General features: G+C 55.6%; 2 annotated features.

The window, feature by feature from the left end:
• Window positions 7,925–8,617: an enhancer, noted in NCBI's record as "H3K4me1 hESC enhancer chr9:96670812-96671504 (GRCh37/hg19 assembly coordinates)". NCBI's record gives its function as "activates a minimal SCP1, AML or CMV promoter by ChIP-STARR-seq in naive H9 embryonic stem cells {active_cell/tissue: H9 hESC(naive)}" and the evidence as "EXISTENCE:reporter gene assay evidence [ECO:0000049][PMID:30033119]".
• Window positions 14,094–14,625: an enhancer, noted in NCBI's record as "H3K4me1 hESC enhancer chr9:96664804-96665335 (GRCh37/hg19 assembly coordinates)". NCBI's record gives its function as "activates a minimal SCP1, AML or CMV promoter by ChIP-STARR-seq in naive H9 embryonic stem cells {active_cell/tissue: H9 hESC(naive)}" and the evidence as "EXISTENCE:reporter gene assay evidence [ECO:0000049][PMID:30033119]".

Genomic DNA, 19,595 nt, shown 5'->3' with positions numbered 1-19,595 from the left:
GAGCTCTGATTGGGTGAACTTTGTCTTGTGCATTCGTGGCCTATCATGGTGCTAGGCGGGCTAATGCATCAGGACCCCTGCACTAGGACAGGGTCTGATCCATTGGAACCATACAGATGCAGAAGGGGGGCAGGTGCCTGTGTGAAATTGGGGAGCTAGTCCTGGAACAGGAGGAAAGACACCATAAAGCCATGCCATGGGGACACCGAGTGGGGAGTCAGTAGGAAAATCCCCTACAAAATGCAAAGAGCTGGCCTCTGGGATTGTGTTGTAGGGTGGTGGCCAGGAATAGTCCCCTGGGTGCACCCCTGTATCTCTGGTTTGTGGTCCCACCCCACGTGGCAGGCACTCCACAAAGCAGCTGGGAAGGCTGATCTCCAAGTGCAGGCAGGCACCCCATCCTGCAGAGGAGGTAACTGAGGCCTCGTCCAGGTTCACTCAGCTGGGAAGTGAGAGTGACGGGGGTCATGGTGGGACCTTGGGCATAGGAATGCCAGGACCCCAGTTGGAGATGGAGGAGGTCACAGCAGGAGATACAAAGCTGAGTGTTGAGTGCTGAGTGAGGCAGGATGGCCTGGGGTGGAGCTTCTGATGGGGTGGGGCCCTGGAGAGGCCTGGAATGAGGTGGGGCCTATGGCAGGGCTGGGGTAGGGTGTGGGAGGGCATCTTGTAGCGTGGTAGGGCCTGTGGTGAGGCACAGTGAGGTTGGGGAGGTCTTGTTGTGGGGGATTGGATCCGGGCCTGGGTGCAGGGACTTTAAAGTGCTGGAGTACACAGTCACAGTGCCGTGTCCTGTGCCGTGCCACCTGTATTCGAAGACCATTGTTTCCTTCTTTCCTTCCTTCCTTCCTTCCTTCCTTCCTTCCTTCCATCCATCCTTCCTTCCTTCCTTCTTTCATGCAAACATCCTCCATGGGCCAGGACCAGAGGCAGAACTGGTCCAGGAGAGGGAGACCCAGCTGCAGCTTCCCCAGGAGCTCTGGCACCTCTTTCCTGCAAGTCTCTTCCTGGAATGAGACCCGCCTGCTGGTGGACTCTCTGACCTGGAGCTGGCAGCCTGTGCCCTGGCTGCACCTCTCACACTGTGAGCTGTGGGCAGGGCTTTCTGCTGCCACGTCCCTTGCTGCCTCTCCACTTAATTGAGCGAATGCGCTTCTCTTTATTTTTGGTTTGCATTTGGTTTCTGCCACTTGTCACCAAGATATCATCACTGTGCACCCAGTTCTATGGCTCCCACGCCCTCTTGGCCTGAGTATCCTCTCTGGAACCTGGGCTCCTGACACCTTAAAGTAGAGCTCGACGACACTATGGGCCTGGGTCCATCCTTGGAGTCTCTAGGCTGAAAGAGCATGGATCTGGACTACAGACCAGAGGGGCCCTGTAGCAGCTCGTCCGCAGGTGGGTCACCTCGGCTCTGCCCTCTGGTCTTGAGATGACTGTTTCCTGCTGGTTTTGGTCTCATCTCTGAACCACCTCCCTCCATCCCTGGGACAGGAGCTGTTTACTGAATACTGCCAATGCCCAATGATGGTTTGTTAATGTCCTTTACAAAATGTAGAGCAAGAAACAGAGGACATTTCTTGAGATGGAGGAGGATAGCAGTTCTCTCCAGCTAGAGTGTAAGTGCCACCCCTCTCAGCTTCTGAGAAAACCTAATTTTCTTTGTGCAGCCTGAGACCGTATCTCTGTTTAGCCGTGAAGTCTTCATTTCAGCTTGTGGTCAACTAAGACCCTTAGGTGATTTCACAGCAGCTCTTGCCATACCATGGATGTGAACCTCATTATGCTGGGAGCTGGGGCTCTGGGGTGGTTTTTCCTTGAATCTTGACACTAGCCAAGGCTTGCCCTTATCTGTGTGTTCCAAAGCTACTTTTGTCTCTAGTGATTTGAGGTGCCTCTCCCACCTCACCTCATTTCATATAGGGCCTGAAATATCACCATCTGTCATGCCTTTGGTTTCTTCCTTGGAGGTCCCTATTAAAAATACAAATGTTCTCTGGGCAGGAGATGGCATGGATTAGGTAGGTTTTTCCAAATTCCAGCCCTGTGGGCACCACCTTCAGGCTTGGCCAGAGCTGTGGGCCTCGGGATCTTATGTATTTAACATTATTCTTGCAGTGGCCCTTGTTCTGACCGATTATACTTTGCGGTGCTCAAAGAAGCCATAGCTACAAAATGATGGACAAGTTATACTTTTCTAAAGTGTGCCCTGGTGACTATTACAATCGGCGTGCTACTTCCCTCCTCTGGCTCATGGTGCTCTGCGTGGGTCCATGGAAGGAGGGCTGAAGCCGAGTCCTTTCATGGCCTCAGCTCCTCATTCCCTGGTATCTGTGTCCTTTGCAATTGCTCCTGGAAGGAGGTTGGATTCCCTACCCTTCACTGCTTGGACAAGTGGGATGCAGCTGTGGTCTAGGGCCTTGATGCTCAGAGTGTGTGTTTGCGCTACTGCTTCCCTCGTATACATCTGATATTGCCCCAGGATGAATGTGCCTCCTTGGGGCACTCACATGGCTGTTGTTCCAGGACCTGAGGCAGTCAGGTTGCTCCATCGAGTTCAGTCTCCATCATCCCATCCTCAGTCAAACCTCAGCTGAATCACAGGCGTGGAGCCAAATCCATGCTTCTGTCGTATTGCTAAATGTGTGCTTGGTGTGCTAAATGTGAGCTGTTGTAGTTGTTTGCTATATAGCATCTTTGCAGCCACAGCTAACCCATGCAATGGCCCGGCAAGATGAGTGCCAGGCTTCCCAAGGGCCTCATCTGGCCACAGGAGCCCTGCAGTGGGAAGACCCAGCATTGCCTGTCTTCCTGTGGGAAGATGGGTAGGGAATGGTAGCACGGGCTGTGGCCACTGATGCTAAATGAGGAAGCCCGCCTGGGACATAGACTCGCTGGAGGTCTTGAGCCTCTCCCTGTCTGGGGTGACCTTCTCACCTGTAGAACAAGGAGGTTGGACTCAGGCTCTGAGTCATTCTGATCTGCTCTTGCTTCATCCCAGCAGCTTCTGGTTCACTGGACTGTGTGTGATGAGCCACCCCGAGGTGGGGCTCACTGTGGTGCCCCCGCAAGACCACACGGCAGCAAGTTGCTCCTGGTGATGGGTTCAGTTATTGCCCCATACTTGAGCTGTCCCTGAATAGTAGCATCTATTGACTTCCATTGAGGGTTCCTGTGTGTCACGCACAGTGCTACAGCCCTTTAGGGAGATTCTATCAATCAACAGCTGAAGCAGCCGAGGCAGGTCTGTTACTCGTCCCGTTGAGCGGATGAACAGACTGAGCCCAGAGAGGTGAGGTGACTGCTGAGCACCAGGGAAGGGGGCCCATATTCAACCCCAGGCCCACCCAATCTCTCACTGGGGAGTTTCTGGTGATGAAGGTCAGGGTGCTCCAGACCCTCAATGGCCCGTATCAGCTTCCTAGGGCTGCATAACCAAGCACCAGACACGTGGTGGCTCAAATTGCAGAAGTTTATCATCCCGCAGTTCTGGAGGCCAGAGGTCCAAGATCAACGTGGCAGCAGGGTTGGTTTCTTCTGAGGTTGTGAAAGAGAATCTGCTGGCTGTTCTAGCTCTGGTGTTTGGCAGCAATCTTTAGCGTTCTGCAGCTTGCAGGGGAATCACCCAATGTCTGCCTCCATCTTTACATGGTGCAGTCCCTGTGTGTGTCTCCAAACTTCCCCCCTGCTTTTTTTTTTTTTTTTTTTTTTTTTTTTTTGAGACAGAGTCTTGCTCTGTTGCCCAGGCTGGAGTGCAGGGGCACGATGTCGGCTCACTGCAAGCTCCGCCTCCTGGGTTCATGCCATTCTCCTGCCTCAGCCTCCCGAGTAGCTGGGACTACAAGCACCCACCACCACACCTGGCTACTGTTTTTTTGTTTGTTTGTTTGTTTTGTTTTTTTTGTATTTTTAGTAGAGACGGGGTTTCACCATGTTAGCTAGGATGGTCTCGATCTCCCGTCCTCGTGATTTGCCCACCTCGGCCTCCCAAAGTGCTGGGATTACAGGCGTGAGTCACCGCACCCGGCCAATTTCCCCCTTTTTATAAGGACACAGTCATGCTGGATTAGGGCCCCTCTACTCCGTTATGACCTCATCTTAACTAATTACCTCTGTAACAACCTGTTTCCAAATAAAGTCACATGGAGAGGTATTTGAGTTAGGGCTTCAACAAGTACATTTAGGGGGGTATAATTCAACCCACATTAGCCCCCCAGCATGGCTATCAGAGCCCTGGTTGGTTGTTGGTGTGTAGGAGCAGTGACTTGGGAGGGTGTGCCCCCTCCTCGAGGAAGCTGGGGCAACCTCTGTGTCTGTGGAGGCCTGAGCTGAGGTGTGGCCCTCAGGGAGAAAGGCAGGGGCGGGGCTGTGTGGGTAAGTCACAGCTTTGCCAGAACAGTGGCAGGACGCTGTTATGCAAATGCTCTCCCACAATGATCCCCACCCCAAACTGCAGAAAACCCTGCCTCTGGGACAGGACGGTGGTGGGGGCTGAGGGAGGAGGAGACCCGTCCGTGAGTGCTTGCCACTTGTACATTTTGAATTGTGAACCATGTAAAAGGATTGCAAAAACAGTTTTTGAAAGTTCTTATTAAAAATAGCTCTAAACTCTGAAAAACAGGACCTACCTGGTAGGCAGGATGAGGAGCCAGTGAGCTGATGGATGGAAACGCCCTCCCCTGCCTGGCCCCAGCAAACGGTGCTGCTATTATTAGCTCCCGGACCGTGCTGGCCTCTGAGGTGGCTCCAGGCTTGGCGGGCTTGGCAGCGCTGGGACACACGAGGTCCTTTTAACCCCCACACCCGGAGGAGCCCAGGGAGCCTGCCCTGGGCCTGGATTCATGAGGATCAGCTCAGGAGAGAAGCTAGATCCGGGGGCCAGGAGGTGGTCAGGCCATCTCAATGCAACAGCCCCAGCCCCATCCTGGCCTGGGCCTCCTGGCTGCCTTCAAACAGGTGGGAAAACCCCCACAGCCTCTCCCTTCTTGCACGAAGCCTTTTCCGCCCCCGCCAGCCCTGCTGCCAGGCCAGGCGGCCCATGGGCCCTGGCAACCTGGTTGGAGCCTCCAGCTGGGCGGATGATGGATGGGGCCACGTCAGCACCCGCCTCAGAGTGGATTTTGTGTGTGTTTGACATTTATTTACTGTCCGTATAAACACTAACACCTATGAAGCATGCTCGCCGTGTGATAGCTTGGCTGAAGGCAGCTCTTAAGTACATAAATTATGTGCACCTCGCTAATGAACGGTTTGACAGGCGGGAAGTTTTATTTACCGCTGGCCCGAGTTTTCGTATAAAACCAGGGCACCGGCAAGCCAGGATTTGTGCACCGTCATAGTCTTGCCTATTCAGAATCCAACTCATTTCTTTCTTCTTTCTAAAAAATTTCTCCTCCTTCTTTTTTTATTTCCCTCTTTAAAAGACTCGACATAAAGCTGAGTTCTGTGTATAACTGTGCTGCCTGGAGCAAGTGTCGGAGGGGGAGCCAGCCCATCTGGCGGCAGGCTCTTCTGACGGGCGAATGCTTGAACAATATGTGGTTTGACAAATTTCAAGGCAGGCTTATGAAAAAATAACAGTGGTGCAGCCGTCTCGGTGAGTGCCCGTCCACCTGTGGGCGCGGGCAGGGGTGCCAGGCCGTGTGAGTCAGGGTACCCGGCGGGGGATTAGGAGGCCCGTGTAAATCACTGTCATCCGGCACGTGTGGGACACATCAACGTCCCAGCTCCTGAGACTTGTTTCCCATCACGGGGTCTGCCCAGGGCCAGGTGCTGCTGGCGATAACTGGCAACCTGTCCCCCGTGACCATATTGGGGTGCACTGCTCTCAGTGGGACGTCTGCTCCTTGGAGTGGAGGGTATGCCCCGAGGCCTGGGCAGGCATCTCCAGGCATCTGTCTTGTCAGCCCTCAGGAGGCCTTGAGACACTCCGGGCAGGGTGGTCCCCTGGCCAGACATTCCTTGAGGACTTAGTCTGTTTATCTGAGAGGGGGTGTAGTGGACCCCTTCACCCTGGCCAAGCTACAATGGTAGAGCTCTCTGTCTGTCCAGCCCTATGGAGCCAGGTGGGGCTGAGGTGCATGGGGAGCTGGCCTCCAGGCAGCCCCTCTCTGCAGGCCCTAGCCGGCCACTTTGGGCCACAGCCCAGGGTTAGCACATGCTGTATGAGGCCTTAAGCCATTTCTATCCCTCTCTGCGCCTTGGTTTCCCCACCCAAAAAGTGGAGGTAGCACTAGCCCCTGCCTCTCAGGGCTGCACTGAGGAGATTCAAGGGCACAGTGTGTGCTGGGGGCAGAGTGAGCCCCTGCCACCCTGTGGCCAGCCTGCGCAGTGTTTCATTTCACCCCCGCAATACCCTGTGTGCAGGGAGGAAAGGGGCTTGGCGAAAGCCTGGAGTTGGCCTTTGTGGGGCCCAATGCCCCTGCCCCTCCCCAGCAACCCTGCCTCTTGGGTCTCCACCGGCCCAGTCAGACCCAGAGTCACTGTGATATCGGCCAGAGGCTTTCTGTGGTGCGGGGGCTCTGTCAGGAGGCAGACAGCAGCCTGCAGTGTGACCTGTGTCTATGGGGCCTTCCAATGGCTTCTGAAGCATGTCGCAGGGGACGGCCCTGGGACTCTGTTTTTATGGGCGGCATCAGCCATTCTGTTCTGAGCATCCTGAGTAGGTTCCCACTTCGAAGATGAGGAGATCCAGATGCCTGCCCAGCCCACCGGCTGCATCTTGGGTTGGGGTGTGAGGGGCCCCCAGAGATGCTGACACTGCTCACATGGTCACGCTACAGCCAGCTCCCCACCTGCATCACAGGAAGCACCCACATGCGGCAGGGCGACAGCCACATACTGGGAGTCAGGGCTGTAAGGAGTTGCCTCTCTCCCATCACCGACCATTCCCCATGGCCTCTGCCCTGGAACTTCCCCGGCTACCCCAGGCAAACCAGCCACCCCACTCCTCCTGGCCTGATCGCAGCCTGGGCACACATCTCTCCCTGCAGGTTACCACGCCCACATCTGAGCCCCCACCAGGGCAGGGACTGTTTCCCTTTTGTCTGTGTCTCTGTGTCTCAGTACACAGAAGGTGCTCATAAGTGTCACAGGAAGGGCAGGAAGCAGGAGGTGCAGAGACCTCCATCCAGCCAGTGCTGGGCCCTCAGGGACTTTGAGGAGCTGGGCAGTTGTCATCCCTGGGCCCTGCTTTTCCCAAGACCACTGCAGCCACCAGGCCCTGTTCCTCTTGGTTCTTCTATGAACCTGGGTGACTGTTCCCCGCTCCTGGAGTTCCAATCTTATTCTCTACCCAGCAGCAGTGATGAAACCCACCGGAGGCCTGCTGTGCCCAAAACAGTTTTGGGAGGCTGTGGGTCCACAGCAAAGGGCAACTGGTGGGTGTGGACATAGGCACTCAGGAATGCCACAATGCCAGGGAGGCCTTCCTGGAGAAGGTGGCATGTTGGTCATAGGAGATCATAGGATATGGCTAGGAGGGGAAACTGCAGCACAAGCAAAGCCTCAGTCCCCAGAATGGCTGTGCTGTGTGGTGGCTTGGGAGCTACATGGTGGCTGAGAACCTGTTGGGGCAGGGGTGGTGCTATCTCCACAGTCCCACCTGGAGACTGTGTGGACCACTCTGAGGCTCAGGAGGGAACAAAAGCTGCCAAGCTCACAGAGCAAGTAAGTGTGAAGCCTGCACTGGCCACCAGGCTGCCCAGCTTTGCATTCCCAGCTACTGGGACACATTCAGAGGCCCACGGAGCAGGGCCACGTGCCGCCAGCTTTATTAAATTCATATTTCCACCTCCATCCCGCACAAATATCTGTATTTACCATCAAGCTCGGCAGTATTTATTTTCTAAAGTAGTTCTGTTTAAACAAGGAGTTTCTCTCTTAAATTCATCGACTCCAATTTCCTGTGGCCCCAGCCCTCCACGGAGCTGACATTAATCATTTGCATGACTGCAGGTTCTGCGGCTGCCGAGGGCCTCCGGCAGGCGGCAGCCATGGCGCTGGGCTTCGCTGCGGCTTCCCCTGACTCTTTCAATTAAAGCTGAGGGAATGGGACACAGTCCCCCCAGAGTGACCAGAGGTGGAGTGTGGCTGGAAGAGGCAGGAGGCAGGACCAGCTCAGCAGCTCCCGGCTCCCACCCTGGCTCAGTCTGTTAGCGCCAGATGACCTCTGCCAGCCTCTTTGCTCAGGCTGCCCATCAGGGGCTGCACTCCAGCTGCTGCCTGCATCCAGCGCTGGCCCCACCATGGGCACTCACTGTGCTTCACTTTGCTCACCCATGACATGGGGACACTATGTGTCCCTGCTGCACCTGATGCACTGAGGTGGCAGGTGCACACAGAGCACCAGCTGCCACTTCAGCAGTTGTCATTCATATTTGGTGCCATTGGCAGGGAGAGCACCCGGTGCAGGGCTAGCCCATAGCAGGTGCTCCGTGAGGTTCCTTCCTGTCTTGTGCATGGTCTCATTTCCTTAGCAAGATGACCGGGCATCCTGGCGCTTTGGGAGGCTGAGTGGGAGGATTGCTTGAGGCAGGAGTTCAAGACCAGTCTGGGCAACATAGTGAGATCCTGTCTCCATTTCTTTATTTCAACAAAAGTCTTTCCCACAGCATAATATACTCTAGCCTCATCCTTGGCCTCTGCATATGTGGGGTAGTGCATACAACTTGGGAGACCCACTACCCTCTTCTGGGGGCTGACCCTCTCCCCCACTTCAGGGCCCTCTGGATTCCTGAAGTGTGAGAGGGCCACCGAGAGAACACCCTGGGCCATGCCACCCACCCACCTACCCCCCTGCCTGCCTTGCTCCAGCCACACACCTCTGCTGCTCCTGTCAGTTTCCTATTGGGCATCTCTGTGCAGTGCTGTGAGCTGTGACAGCCAGGACAGCCTGGTTGACAGCAACAGCAAGAAGGGAATGAACTGGAAGGTTATGGGGAGGCTAGAGTTTTGGATTTTGAGAGACCGTAGGGTCCGCCTCATAAGACCTTGAAGGCAGAGGTGATGGTAATAATGTTAGCAACTGCAACAACATCAGCTAAGGTTCACAGAGCGCTCACTGTGTGCTGGACACCATGCTAAGCACATGCACATACAGTTTCATTGAATCCTCTTTGCAGCCCTGCCAGCAGGTACCATAGCCCATTGTACAGATATGAAAACTGAGGCACAAAGAGGGTGAACAGCTGGCTGGAGGTTGCACAGCTGGTGAGTGGTAGAGTGGGAATTTGGGCCCTTGACCTTGGACCCCAGTCATGATGCTGGGTTTGTTTCTGTAGGCTGCACAGAACCCTCTGTTGGGGACCTTTTAGGAAGGAGTCAGCTCCTGCTGGGACCAGTCCTTGCACCTTTGCACTGTGGAGGGATTTCAGGAGAGGGTGGAGCCTTTGGCTGCATGCCTACCTCTAGACAAGGGGAGGGCAGGCCGCGGAGCAGCAGTCCCAGCTGATTGTCTCCAAGGGAACAGGGAACCTTGGAAAGAAAGCTGGACACATTGGGAGGTTGAGGTGGGAGGACCACTTGAGCCCAGGAGTTTGAGACCAGCCTGGGCAACATAGCAAGACCCCATCTTTATTTTTTGTTTTTTTAAAGAAAGAAAGCTGGGTGCTGTTTCCAGAACAAGGTGTTATGGATTCTGGCCAGCCCAAGATTCCTCTTGTTCACTACAAGGACTGAAAATGTGCAGACATGGCTATTGAGACACCTGGCTCTCAAGCCTGCATTGAAACCCACGGTGTCAGCCTTTTCCTTTCTCTTACATTTTTTTTGTTTGGGGCATGTCTCAGTCCATTGACGCTGCTATAGCAAAATACCTGAGGTTGGGTAGTTTATACACAACAGAAATTTATTTCTTATAGTTCTGGAGGCTGGGAAGTCCAAAATCAACATGCCAGCACTGGTGTCTGGTAAGGGCCTTCTTGCTGTATCCTCACATGGTAGAAGAGTCAGAGGGAGCAAACCCACTCCCCCAGTCTTTTTAGAAGAGCCCTGGTCCCATCCATGAGGGGTCTTCCCTTGTGATTTAGTCACTCTTAAAAGTCCCCACCTCTTTACACTGTCACATTGGCCATTAAGTTTCAGCACGTGAATTTTGTGGCACATATTCACACCACAGCAGGGCAGGGGGCAGCCTTCAAGTGTGTAAGTAAAACCTGCAGGCAATAGCTCTTGAAAAAATTAAAACCTTACAAGTTAAGATTAATGTCCCTGTGGATGCCACCCCCTCCCAAGTCCCTGCCTTACCTCCAGAATTGAACACTTTATCTGTTTGGAACACATCCCTTCAGGCATTAAAAAAAAATGCCTTTATTTACATGCATGTGTGTGTGTGTAGAAAATATGTACTATTGCATTATGGTGCTTAACTCATTTTGTCAAAATTTTCCATAGACAAAATAGTCAAAGAACCCCACGTCCTCACAGCCCAGCCCCACCTGTCACCCGCTCACAGCCAATCTTGGCTCCTCTGAGCCCCTCCCCCAAACCCAGGCATCCCCAACTCCCTGGCAAGTGTCTCAGGGTGTGTCTGCCTCCACGGGCTGGGCTCCCCTTTTCTTAAATAACACCATTCCATCAGCACTCTCACCAAAGTCAGCAAGCGTTCCTTAAGATTATCTAATGCCCATTCAGCCTCCAAATTTCCCTAGTTGTCTCAAAAATGTCTTCTCAGGCTTGGTTTATTTGTCTCAGGATTTGCCGGGCTGTCAAAGGCCTTCGTGGAACCCTGCTCTGGGCCCCACCGTGCCTGCATCTCCAAGGCCCATCCTGCCCAAACACGCAGAGGGCCTCCCGCCTCCTCACGGCCCTGCAGCTTCCTCCTTCACTCAGTCACACCTCTATTGATGGAGACACAGTTAGGTGGGTCTAGGGTTTTGCTACAAAAACAAGGCTGCAATTAACATTCTTCATTCTTTCTGAGCCTCCTGGGTGTTTTTCTAGGGACAATGGCTTGCTGTTGGGCAGCTACTTCCCCTCTCTGAGCCGTGGCTTCCCCCTTGGAGAGGTGCAGAAGGCTGAGATTCTAACAGTATCTGATATTCTAAGAGGAAGACTCCATCATATACCCTGAGGCCATGTTGTTCTGAGCAGAAGGAGGCAATGGTGTTTTGCTGTGGGAGAGACTTCCCACCGTGCTCACTGGTCCTCAAACTCCACAGAAGGGACGCTGGCGTCGGGGAGGAGCATCCTCGGGCCATCTCAGAATCTGCCCGCCACGCTGCCCAGGAGAAGGGCTGATGGGACTCTAGCAGTGAGAGCTGAGTCTGGGGACAGTGAGAGGAGTGGGGTCTGGGGAGTGGGGTCTGGGGAGTGGGGTCTGGGAAGTGGGATGCAGGTTGCAAAGCAGGAAGGGATCCCTTTCCTGCCTTCATTAGGGTGGGAGTGCCAGGGAGAACAAAGCTGACAGGCACAGGTTCTTGTCCAGGCCTTGCCTCTCACTCTGCCCTTGACCTCTCCAGCCTCAGCATCCTGATCTGTGAAATGGCCACAGGGACAACATGCTCTTCCCGGGCTTGCTGTCAATGCAGCAGTGCACACACATTACTCCAGCACATCGAGCACATAGAAGGTGCCCAAGAAATGTCATTTCCTTTCCCCACACCCAGGCTGGGCTCCAATTCAGTGCACAAGCAGGTGCTACTGGCTGCCTGGCCAGGCCCATAACAGGAAGTCGGGTCTTTGGGGTGACTTCCTGGGCAGTGCCAGTGACTCTGTTTCCCTCTGAGTCTTACAGAGGAAAGACCCCAGCTTGTGGCCAGGGGCACTGGGCTGGGTGCAGAAGAAGGTGTTGCAGGAAAGGAGGGCCCTTCCCAGTGCTAGCGACAAACCCCTCTGACCTCAGGACCTCAGGTATGTTCTGGGAACTCCCACTTTCCAAGCCCTTTCCGTAGATGTTTTTGACATTCATAGGTGGGGAAACTGAGGCCTGAAGAAGGGAGGCAGGCCGAGTGACTTGTCAACGAGCTCAGAGTGAGTTGGGGCAGGGCCAGGACAGACCCAGAGACGGGCCTCTGCCCACCAGGTCCGTAGGGCAAAGGCTATATGTCTGCTGGGGTCTTCTCTTTCATAAAGGGCCTCCTAAGATGTGTGGCAGGTTAGGAGCCAACAAGGAGGTGGTGTGGGTTGTGGGCCAAGCCCCAGCCTAAAGGACAGAGGGCGAAGCCTGTGATGCTGTAGCCTTGAGCAGGGAGCCACTGCCACATCCCCCCAAAGCCAGGGGGGCATCGGGAGAAACACCAACCTGTCTCTCTGCCCATCCTCCCAGCAGGTGGGGGCTCAGGGTCCTCTGTGGGGTAGGCTCCAGGACCCAGGCCTGTGAGCCAAGCAGGACTGGGTGGACCCTCACCTCAAGCACCCCCAGGGTATTGTCAGAACCCTGCTGTCCTCCTGCATCCCCGCCACCCAGCACTTGCACTGTGCACAGTCATGTGCTTAGCTCGGTACATGGGCCGTGGTGCATCGAAAGGATCTTTTTGCTCATGTTTCTATTGAGACTTCAAGGGGCAAGGGCAGGACAAGTGGGGCCAACTGCCCCACATTCCATGTGGAGGACTTGCAAAGAGGGTGGTGAGGCCAATTTCACCGGCCCCTCACCTCCCAGTGATGAGCACTTGAGTAGAGAAGGGAGTAGGGAAGTGAGACAGCAATGGGGGTCACTGCTGTGGTTGCTGGGGCTCAGCCCTGCTGCAGGGCTGGGGAGACCTGGAGAGCCCAGATCTGTCACCCCAGCCAGAATGAGGGTGCCTGGAGCCATCAGCACCTTCCATGGGGCATGAGTTGGAGGTAACTCCCTGGGGCCGTAACTCCCAGGTATGAGGTGTGCCTCATACCTGCCAGGCACACTCCTGGCGGGAGAATGTTCTGACCCATGGGCTGCTGAACGCCTTGTAAGGAAAGAGCCGTTGGTGGGTAAAAGGGAGGCCAGTGACCAGGGTGCAGGCATTGATGTCTGCTGCAGGAAGACCCATGATGCCCCCGGGAGCCTCCAGGAGAGGGGCTGGGTGTGGAGTCTCTGTTGTGCTGCCAGAACATCTTGTTTACCCTCTGTTTGTGAGGGACACCACCGTGTGCCCGGTGGGTACAAGCTGCCATGCTAGAAAGGGTGCTGCCTGGGGCCTCGTCACAGAGCAGACACGGGAGGGTGTCCCAGGAAGCCACTGGAGGTGAGGCCTTTCAGGGAGAGGGGACAGAAGGAGAGATGTCCCCAGAGAACCACAGGTGTCCCAAGAAACAGCATCAGCTTCAAATGTCACCAGGCCCAGGGCACGCAGCCACCCTGGAGCCGGTTACTGCTTCTGTCCCTCCCTCCGCAAAGGCCAGTCCTGTCCGTTTCCTGCTAAGCACAGGCCAGAGAGGGTGGGGTACTACAGAAATGAGAGATTTGAGGTTAAAGGACTTCTAATGACCAAGAGTGGTCAGAGGAGATTTAGGAAGCTGCTGGGGACTTCCTGCAGGGTGAGGGGCATCTTGTCCCTGGGCAGGTTGGAAGGACAGTTGGGGAGGATCAAAGTTGCTTCAGAGATGGAGAAACAGGCTCGGAGAAACTCATGGCAGCCTGAGGAGGGGCCCAGCTCCTGCTGTGGGCTCCACACTCCCATCTTGGCCTCATTTTGCCACGCAGCCTTAGGAATTGCATGAGCCAGGGCTGCTCCCCAGAAGCCTAGGTTCTGCAGCCCATTTTGGGGCATTGATACCCCTGCTGTATGTTTCATGCACCTGATGTGTAACCAGCCCTGCCATGAGCCAGGCAGCGCAAGTCACTAAAACAAAGCTCTGGAAGTCTGAGACTTGCAAATCCCTGACCTCAGGAGCCCCTGTCACCCGAAGATGGGGTTATGGCAGCAGCCCAGGGAGAGTCCCCAGGCAGCTGCCCATTGTCTTCCCAAAGCCCTCTGCCTGCCTGGGTGGGGACAGACCCCCTCCAGGATGGCCCCCACCTACCCCCACCTGCCACATTCTTCTGTGACAACACCCTGTGCGGGGCAGGTGGCAGCCAAAAGCCCCACTGGCAGGCGGACAATGAGCCGGGATTAGGCCTGAATGACAGGCCTGACAGAGCCTTGGGTGGATCCTCACTGGGGCTACTGCTACCCTGAGCCAGTGGGAAGGGCTTGGCTCTGAGCTGCAGTGATAGGTGGGCGTCTGTCTTTGCGGGGCCACCCAGCCGCTGGGCTCTGTCCCAGGATGGTCCCTGGACCCCGAGCACTCTCAGACTGCTCTCTTCCCTGCAGCTCTGCAGCCCCCGCTATCCTGTTCCTTGTGCTAAAGTCACCCAGCAAGAAGCTGGCAGGGTGGGGATCTGAACCCAGGGCCCCAACCCTGGGGAAGTGTACACCCACCTGCACCAACCTGCCACCCCTCATTTCTTCTGGAAGTCTCCCAGGCAGGCAGCACTACCTTCATTTTGCAGATGAGCAAACTGAGGCAGCCCAGCCACTAGATGCCCACAGATGCTTGTGAAATGGAGGCTGGTGGAGGTTCCCCAGTGGGAGGTGATGCAGGGACTCTATGGAGGGGCACCAGGAGGAACAGCTTGAGAGCTCACCTTCCCTCCCACCTTGGGCTCTGGGGTCGGCCTGCATCAGCACCCGGTGGGCCTCTTGGGACAGAGATGAGGAGGCCCCATGGACCTGCAGGCGCTGAGATGTTAGAATCAAAACTGTCCAAGAAAGAGTGGAGCCTTCGAGGGGCTCCTTGAGGGGCTGAGGGACTGGGCAAGGTGGGCTAGGGCTGTCCTGGTTGGGAGGGGCTTTGAGGCATGTCATTGGCTGGTGCCCTGAATGTCTGTCCAACCAGCCCGGAGGATGTGTCCTCCCCATGGGATTGGGACAGAGCCTGGGTCAACCTTTAACAGATGAATTTTAGCCCACAATGGGGAGAGATTCCTCTCCAGCCTCAAGAGCCTAGAGACTAAGTGGGCTGCGGCGGGAGGCACCTCGGGATGAGCCACCACCTGTGGGAGGCCTGAACAGCTCACGATGACAGCAAGAACGCTTGCTCGTCCCTGGCCTGGGCCCAGGAGCTCTCTTGTCTCAGGGTCCTCTGTCAAGTGGGGATGGTTGTCCTTCTTCTCTGGACCATGGTGGGAGGACAGAGGATTGTGCCCAGGAAGTGTCTGAGACCAGTGGGTGCTTGACAGGTTAACACCCACCCAGCCCCTGCCTCTTCAATCCCCCGGCCCTTCATCCTCTTCGGCACCTCTTCTTTCTCCTCTTCCCTGCTTCCTTATCTCCTCTGTGGCCAGTCTCCTGAAATGATCTCAGCATTGGCCTCAGCATCCCTCGCCACTGAAGAATATCACCCCCACCCCCAGGGCACACTGGGGGGCGGGTGCCTCCCTCTCTCATGGTGCCTCCTGGATCTCCAGGGAGCCTGTGACCAGCCTCACCTGATTCCAAGCTGGGCTGAGCCATGGGCGTAGGTGCATCCTTTGGGGGCCTGTCACGGTTTGCGACACAGACCATTGAGGCCAGTCTCCATCCCCATCGAGTCTCTGCCCTCCCTCAGGTCCCCATCATCTGGCACGTGAACACTGAGGCAGGCTTGGGGCTGTGCCCTTCACTTCCGCATCCTGATGGCCAGACACAGGCGTGTGGCTGCCTCTCTCCTGCTGGGCACCTGGGAAGAGGAGATGGCAGGACAAGTGACCCCAGCATGCTCCTGGGTGGAGACTGCTGTTCTGGGGGTGGTCACAGGATCCACTGACCGGGTTGCAAGGAAGGCAAGACACACCCAGCCCCATCTCCCTGAGCCTTCATTAGCTGCCCCTGGGCCTGGAGTGGAGGACACACACAGGCAAGCTCTGCAGTCCAGGGAGGTGACTCCCAGGGCCATGCCCTCTGCTGGATGACCAGGCCCCCTGACGCTGCTAATTTGCTTTTCTCTTGGAACAGCCTCTGCCATCAGACATCTGCCAGGTGGAGAAAGATAGGGCCCATCTCTTCCCTTGCTCTAGCAAATGGCCAGCCGACGCCAGCACAGAACAAGGTTGGTGGGTCAGGGTTCTATGAATCCCTCGATTCCAAGCCTCCAGCAGACACATGCCTTGCCCTAGTCCTTCAAACACTCCTCAGTTGCTGCTGTGAAGGGAGTTTGCAGATGCCATCAAGGTCCCAGTCAGGTGACCTTAATTGACAGGGAGCTGACCCAGGTGGGCCTAACCTACTCAGGAGAGCCCTTTCAATCCAGTCTAGACATCAGAGACAGGCAGCCAGGGATCAAAAGCATGAGAAGAATTTCATCTGAGGAAGTCTCCATTGCTGGTTTTGAAGACGGAGGGAGCCACACAGCCAGGGCTGGGGGAGGCCACTAGGAGCTGAGGGCAAGGAGGAAATGAGGACCTCGGTCCTCTCACCTCAAGGAACTTAATTCTGCCAATAAGGATGAGCTGGGAAGCGGATTTTTCCCCAGAGCCTCCAGATGAGGACTCAGCCTGGCTGGCACCTCAATTCAGCCTTGTGAGACCCTGAGAAGTGAACCCAGACATGCCAGGCCAGGCTTCTGAGCTGCGGACCTGTGCGCTGACTGACGGTGGTGTTTAAAGTGGCTAAATATGTGGTAGTTTTATGCAGCAATGGAAAATGAATACAGAGGCCAGCTCCAGGCCAAATGCCATCTGACCCACAGATGGGTCCAGCAAGGTCAGTGGAGACTAGAAGAACTGGCTGACCAGTAGACTCATGAGCAAAAGTAGACTTGTGGATTTCAGCCACAAAGTGCTGGGGTAACTTGTTACACAGCAGGAGCTAACTGCTACGGCTTGTCAACAACCACAAACTGTGAGGGAAAGAAAGCCTAGGAGGTGCCGCACAGGCAGCTCTGGGAGGTTGGGGGTGGCAGGTTGGAGGTCAGGAGGCTCCACAGGGATGCCTGGGGCTGAGGCAGGAAGGAAGGTGGAAAGGAAGGCATGGGCCTTCGGGGACGTGGTGACATGTTGGGAGGGCAGTGGAGGGAGAGGAGTCTGCAAGGCTGAGCTGGGGCAGGACCTCGGAGGGCCCTGGGTGACTTTGTCCTGGGGGTACTAGGGAGCTGTGAAGGACTTGAGCAGGATGAGGGTGTGGTCATGCTGGGGTTTGGGAATTCTCCTCTGGTGTCTGGGCTGATGGAGGGGAAGGGAAGGGAGTAGGGCAGTGAGACCAGTCAGAAGCATTTGGGTGCTCATCCTGGGAGCCTCCCCTTCAGGGTAAATGGAGGCTGAGTGATGTGGGGCTGGTAGGGGTAGAGGAGGGAAGGGAGACCATGGCTCAGGGCCCTGAGAAAGGAGGCTCAGGCAGCAAAGGGTACACCCCGGCCCCCTAGACTGGGCCAGCAGGTCTCCTGCCTTGAGTGGGCTGGGCTATATGGGAGGGAAAGGCTGCCTCCAAGGTCCCACCAAGAGGAAGCCAGCCCCAGCCAGGGCTCCCCAGGTAAGAGGCCTGACTCCCTGGGCTGTTGTGAGACTCACGGCCCCTAGATGGTCTTAGGCATAGAAGCCCCTGTGAAAGGCGCTACCAGACTGTTTTGCAAACTGGGAGACTGAGATGTGGAGAGGCTGGGTAACCTGGCAAGGTAACACGGGGAGTGAGTGGCCCAGGAGGGGTTTGCACAAAGGGCATCCCTTCCCTGAGGGGTGAACAAGTGGGGAGACTGCTGCTGCTCTGCCTGGAGGTGGCTCTGTATGAGGAGGGGAGCTGGAGCCCCCACCGCCTCTGCCTCTTCCCTTCAGGAGGAGCTGGGAGTGATGTTATGACTTGGAAAGCTTAAGACCACACGAGAAACCAATTTTTGCCTCCACTTATGTAAAATAAAATAAAATAACCCCAAAGCATTTGAAGTTCTGCCTGCCTTGGCTGCCTTCCCCAGGGGTTGTGTTGGAACCGCCCCTACTTTTCCTGGTGGAGGCTGTTCCAGGGACTGCCCATTCCCAGTGATTCTGGGGCCAGAGCCGGACATGGGCCCAAGGCCTCCTCCCCCAGCCTGGCTCTGCTCAGCCCCTCTCATTGCTGTACTGGCTATTGACCAGCACACCTCCAAGTCCTAGAAAGGTAGGACCTCAGGACATAGACTCTTCACTCTCAGGACCCTGGAACAATGGAAACCTAGAGCCGCAGGTTCTTAGGAAATGCACAGTCCTTCAGAACTTCAGGCCACCCATTCCTTCCCATAGGAGACTGTGGTGGTCCAGGGAAGGGCTGTCAGCCCCAAGCAAGAGAGCACCTCTGCAGACAGGAGCCCCTCAACCTGTTGTGTGACAGTGGTGCCACCAAGTTCTTCCCCATGGGGGAAGCCGCCTCCTACACCCTGTGCTGCCAGGGCCCCCGCTCTGGGTGGGAAACGAGCCACGAGCAGCTGCTCCTGCTCTCTGGGCACGGCTCTCTGGTCCACGGTTTGCTCTGGCCCCTCCTTCTTCCCCTAGAAGAGTCTCCTATCACCATCACCTCACTGGCCATTCATATCGTGGGCGGTGGGGACTGGGCTGTCTCTGGGTGCCACGTAGCCCTGTCAGCCACTTCCAGCCTGGAGACAGACAGGAGCCCAGGGCTTGTTTTACGCCCTGACCATGCTCAGGTTGTCTTCGACAGGAAGTCAGAGCTCCCAGCAGACCGCTGTGATGGCCGCAGTGCTTTCTGAGGCCTAATTTCAGTCTCTGCTGTATGTCTCTGCTTTCGCCCCGAGACGTGTGCCTTTCCCTCTCCCCTTCCCTCTGCCTCTAGTCTCTCTTCCCCCTGCCTCTAGTCTCTCTTCCCCCTTATTCTCCCTCTGTGATAGGCTCCATTGTGTCCTCCCAGATTCTCCCATGGTACCTCAGAATGCAATCTGATTTGGAGACAGGGTCTTTAAAGAGGTGACTACACTTACAGGAAGTCACTAGGGTGGGGCCTAACCCAGCACAACAAGGCCTGAGGTGCTTTGTGCTGGCAGCTCTAGGAAACGAATCTCCACCCTCCCTCACTCCCTCCCCACCCCTCTGTCTTAGAGAAGGCCACCTTGAGGCTATCAGCCTCAAAGACCCTGAATCAGATGCACCTTCAGTCCCATCGTGCCCAAGGCAATGTGATGGGTTGCAAGATTTTAGGAGGCATTTGTCCCTCAAAGGCCTTTTCAGTTCATCATCTATATTTGGAGTTGAGAAGCAGCACTTTGGTTCTCTAACCTCTGGCAAGTTTCTGGACCCTCTCCTCCTTTCCTGTTCAGCTTGCAATCTGACGAGTTTCTCTCCTCAGCACCTGTCTGTCCTGTCATCTTTTGATAGTTGCAGCCAATGGCAGCCGGCACCCCAACTCCTGATGTCTGTTCCTCCCATCTCTTCTCTCAAAGCCACACGGTCACTCGGTAAGTTCTAGTGGCCATGTGGGTCTTCATCCTTCCAGCCTCTGACATGGGATGCACCCCACTTTGTGTGCAAACACTATACCAGTGCCACAAACTCTTGCTGGCTTTAGTTGCCACCCCATTTCTGGTGCCAAACCAGTACTTGGACACAGAAACAACCAACCTCATTTTCAGGCTTGACACCACAAAGGCTTATTTCTCATGCAGTGGTCAGTTGGGGAATTGCTCCTCACGCAGCCCCTTGGGGGCCCGGGCTCAGGCAGCTCCACATTCTGTAGCTGTAC

The sequence above is a fragment of the Homo sapiens genome, chromosome 9, assembly GCF_000001405.40.
Source record: "Homo sapiens chromosome 9, GRCh38.p14 Primary Assembly".
In the NCBI taxonomy this organism is placed as follows: Eukaryota; Metazoa; Chordata; class Mammalia; order Primates; family Hominidae; genus Homo; species Homo sapiens.
The sequence above is the reverse complement of the archived record's forward strand: the minus strand, read 5'-3'. Positions and strand labels throughout refer to the sequence as shown.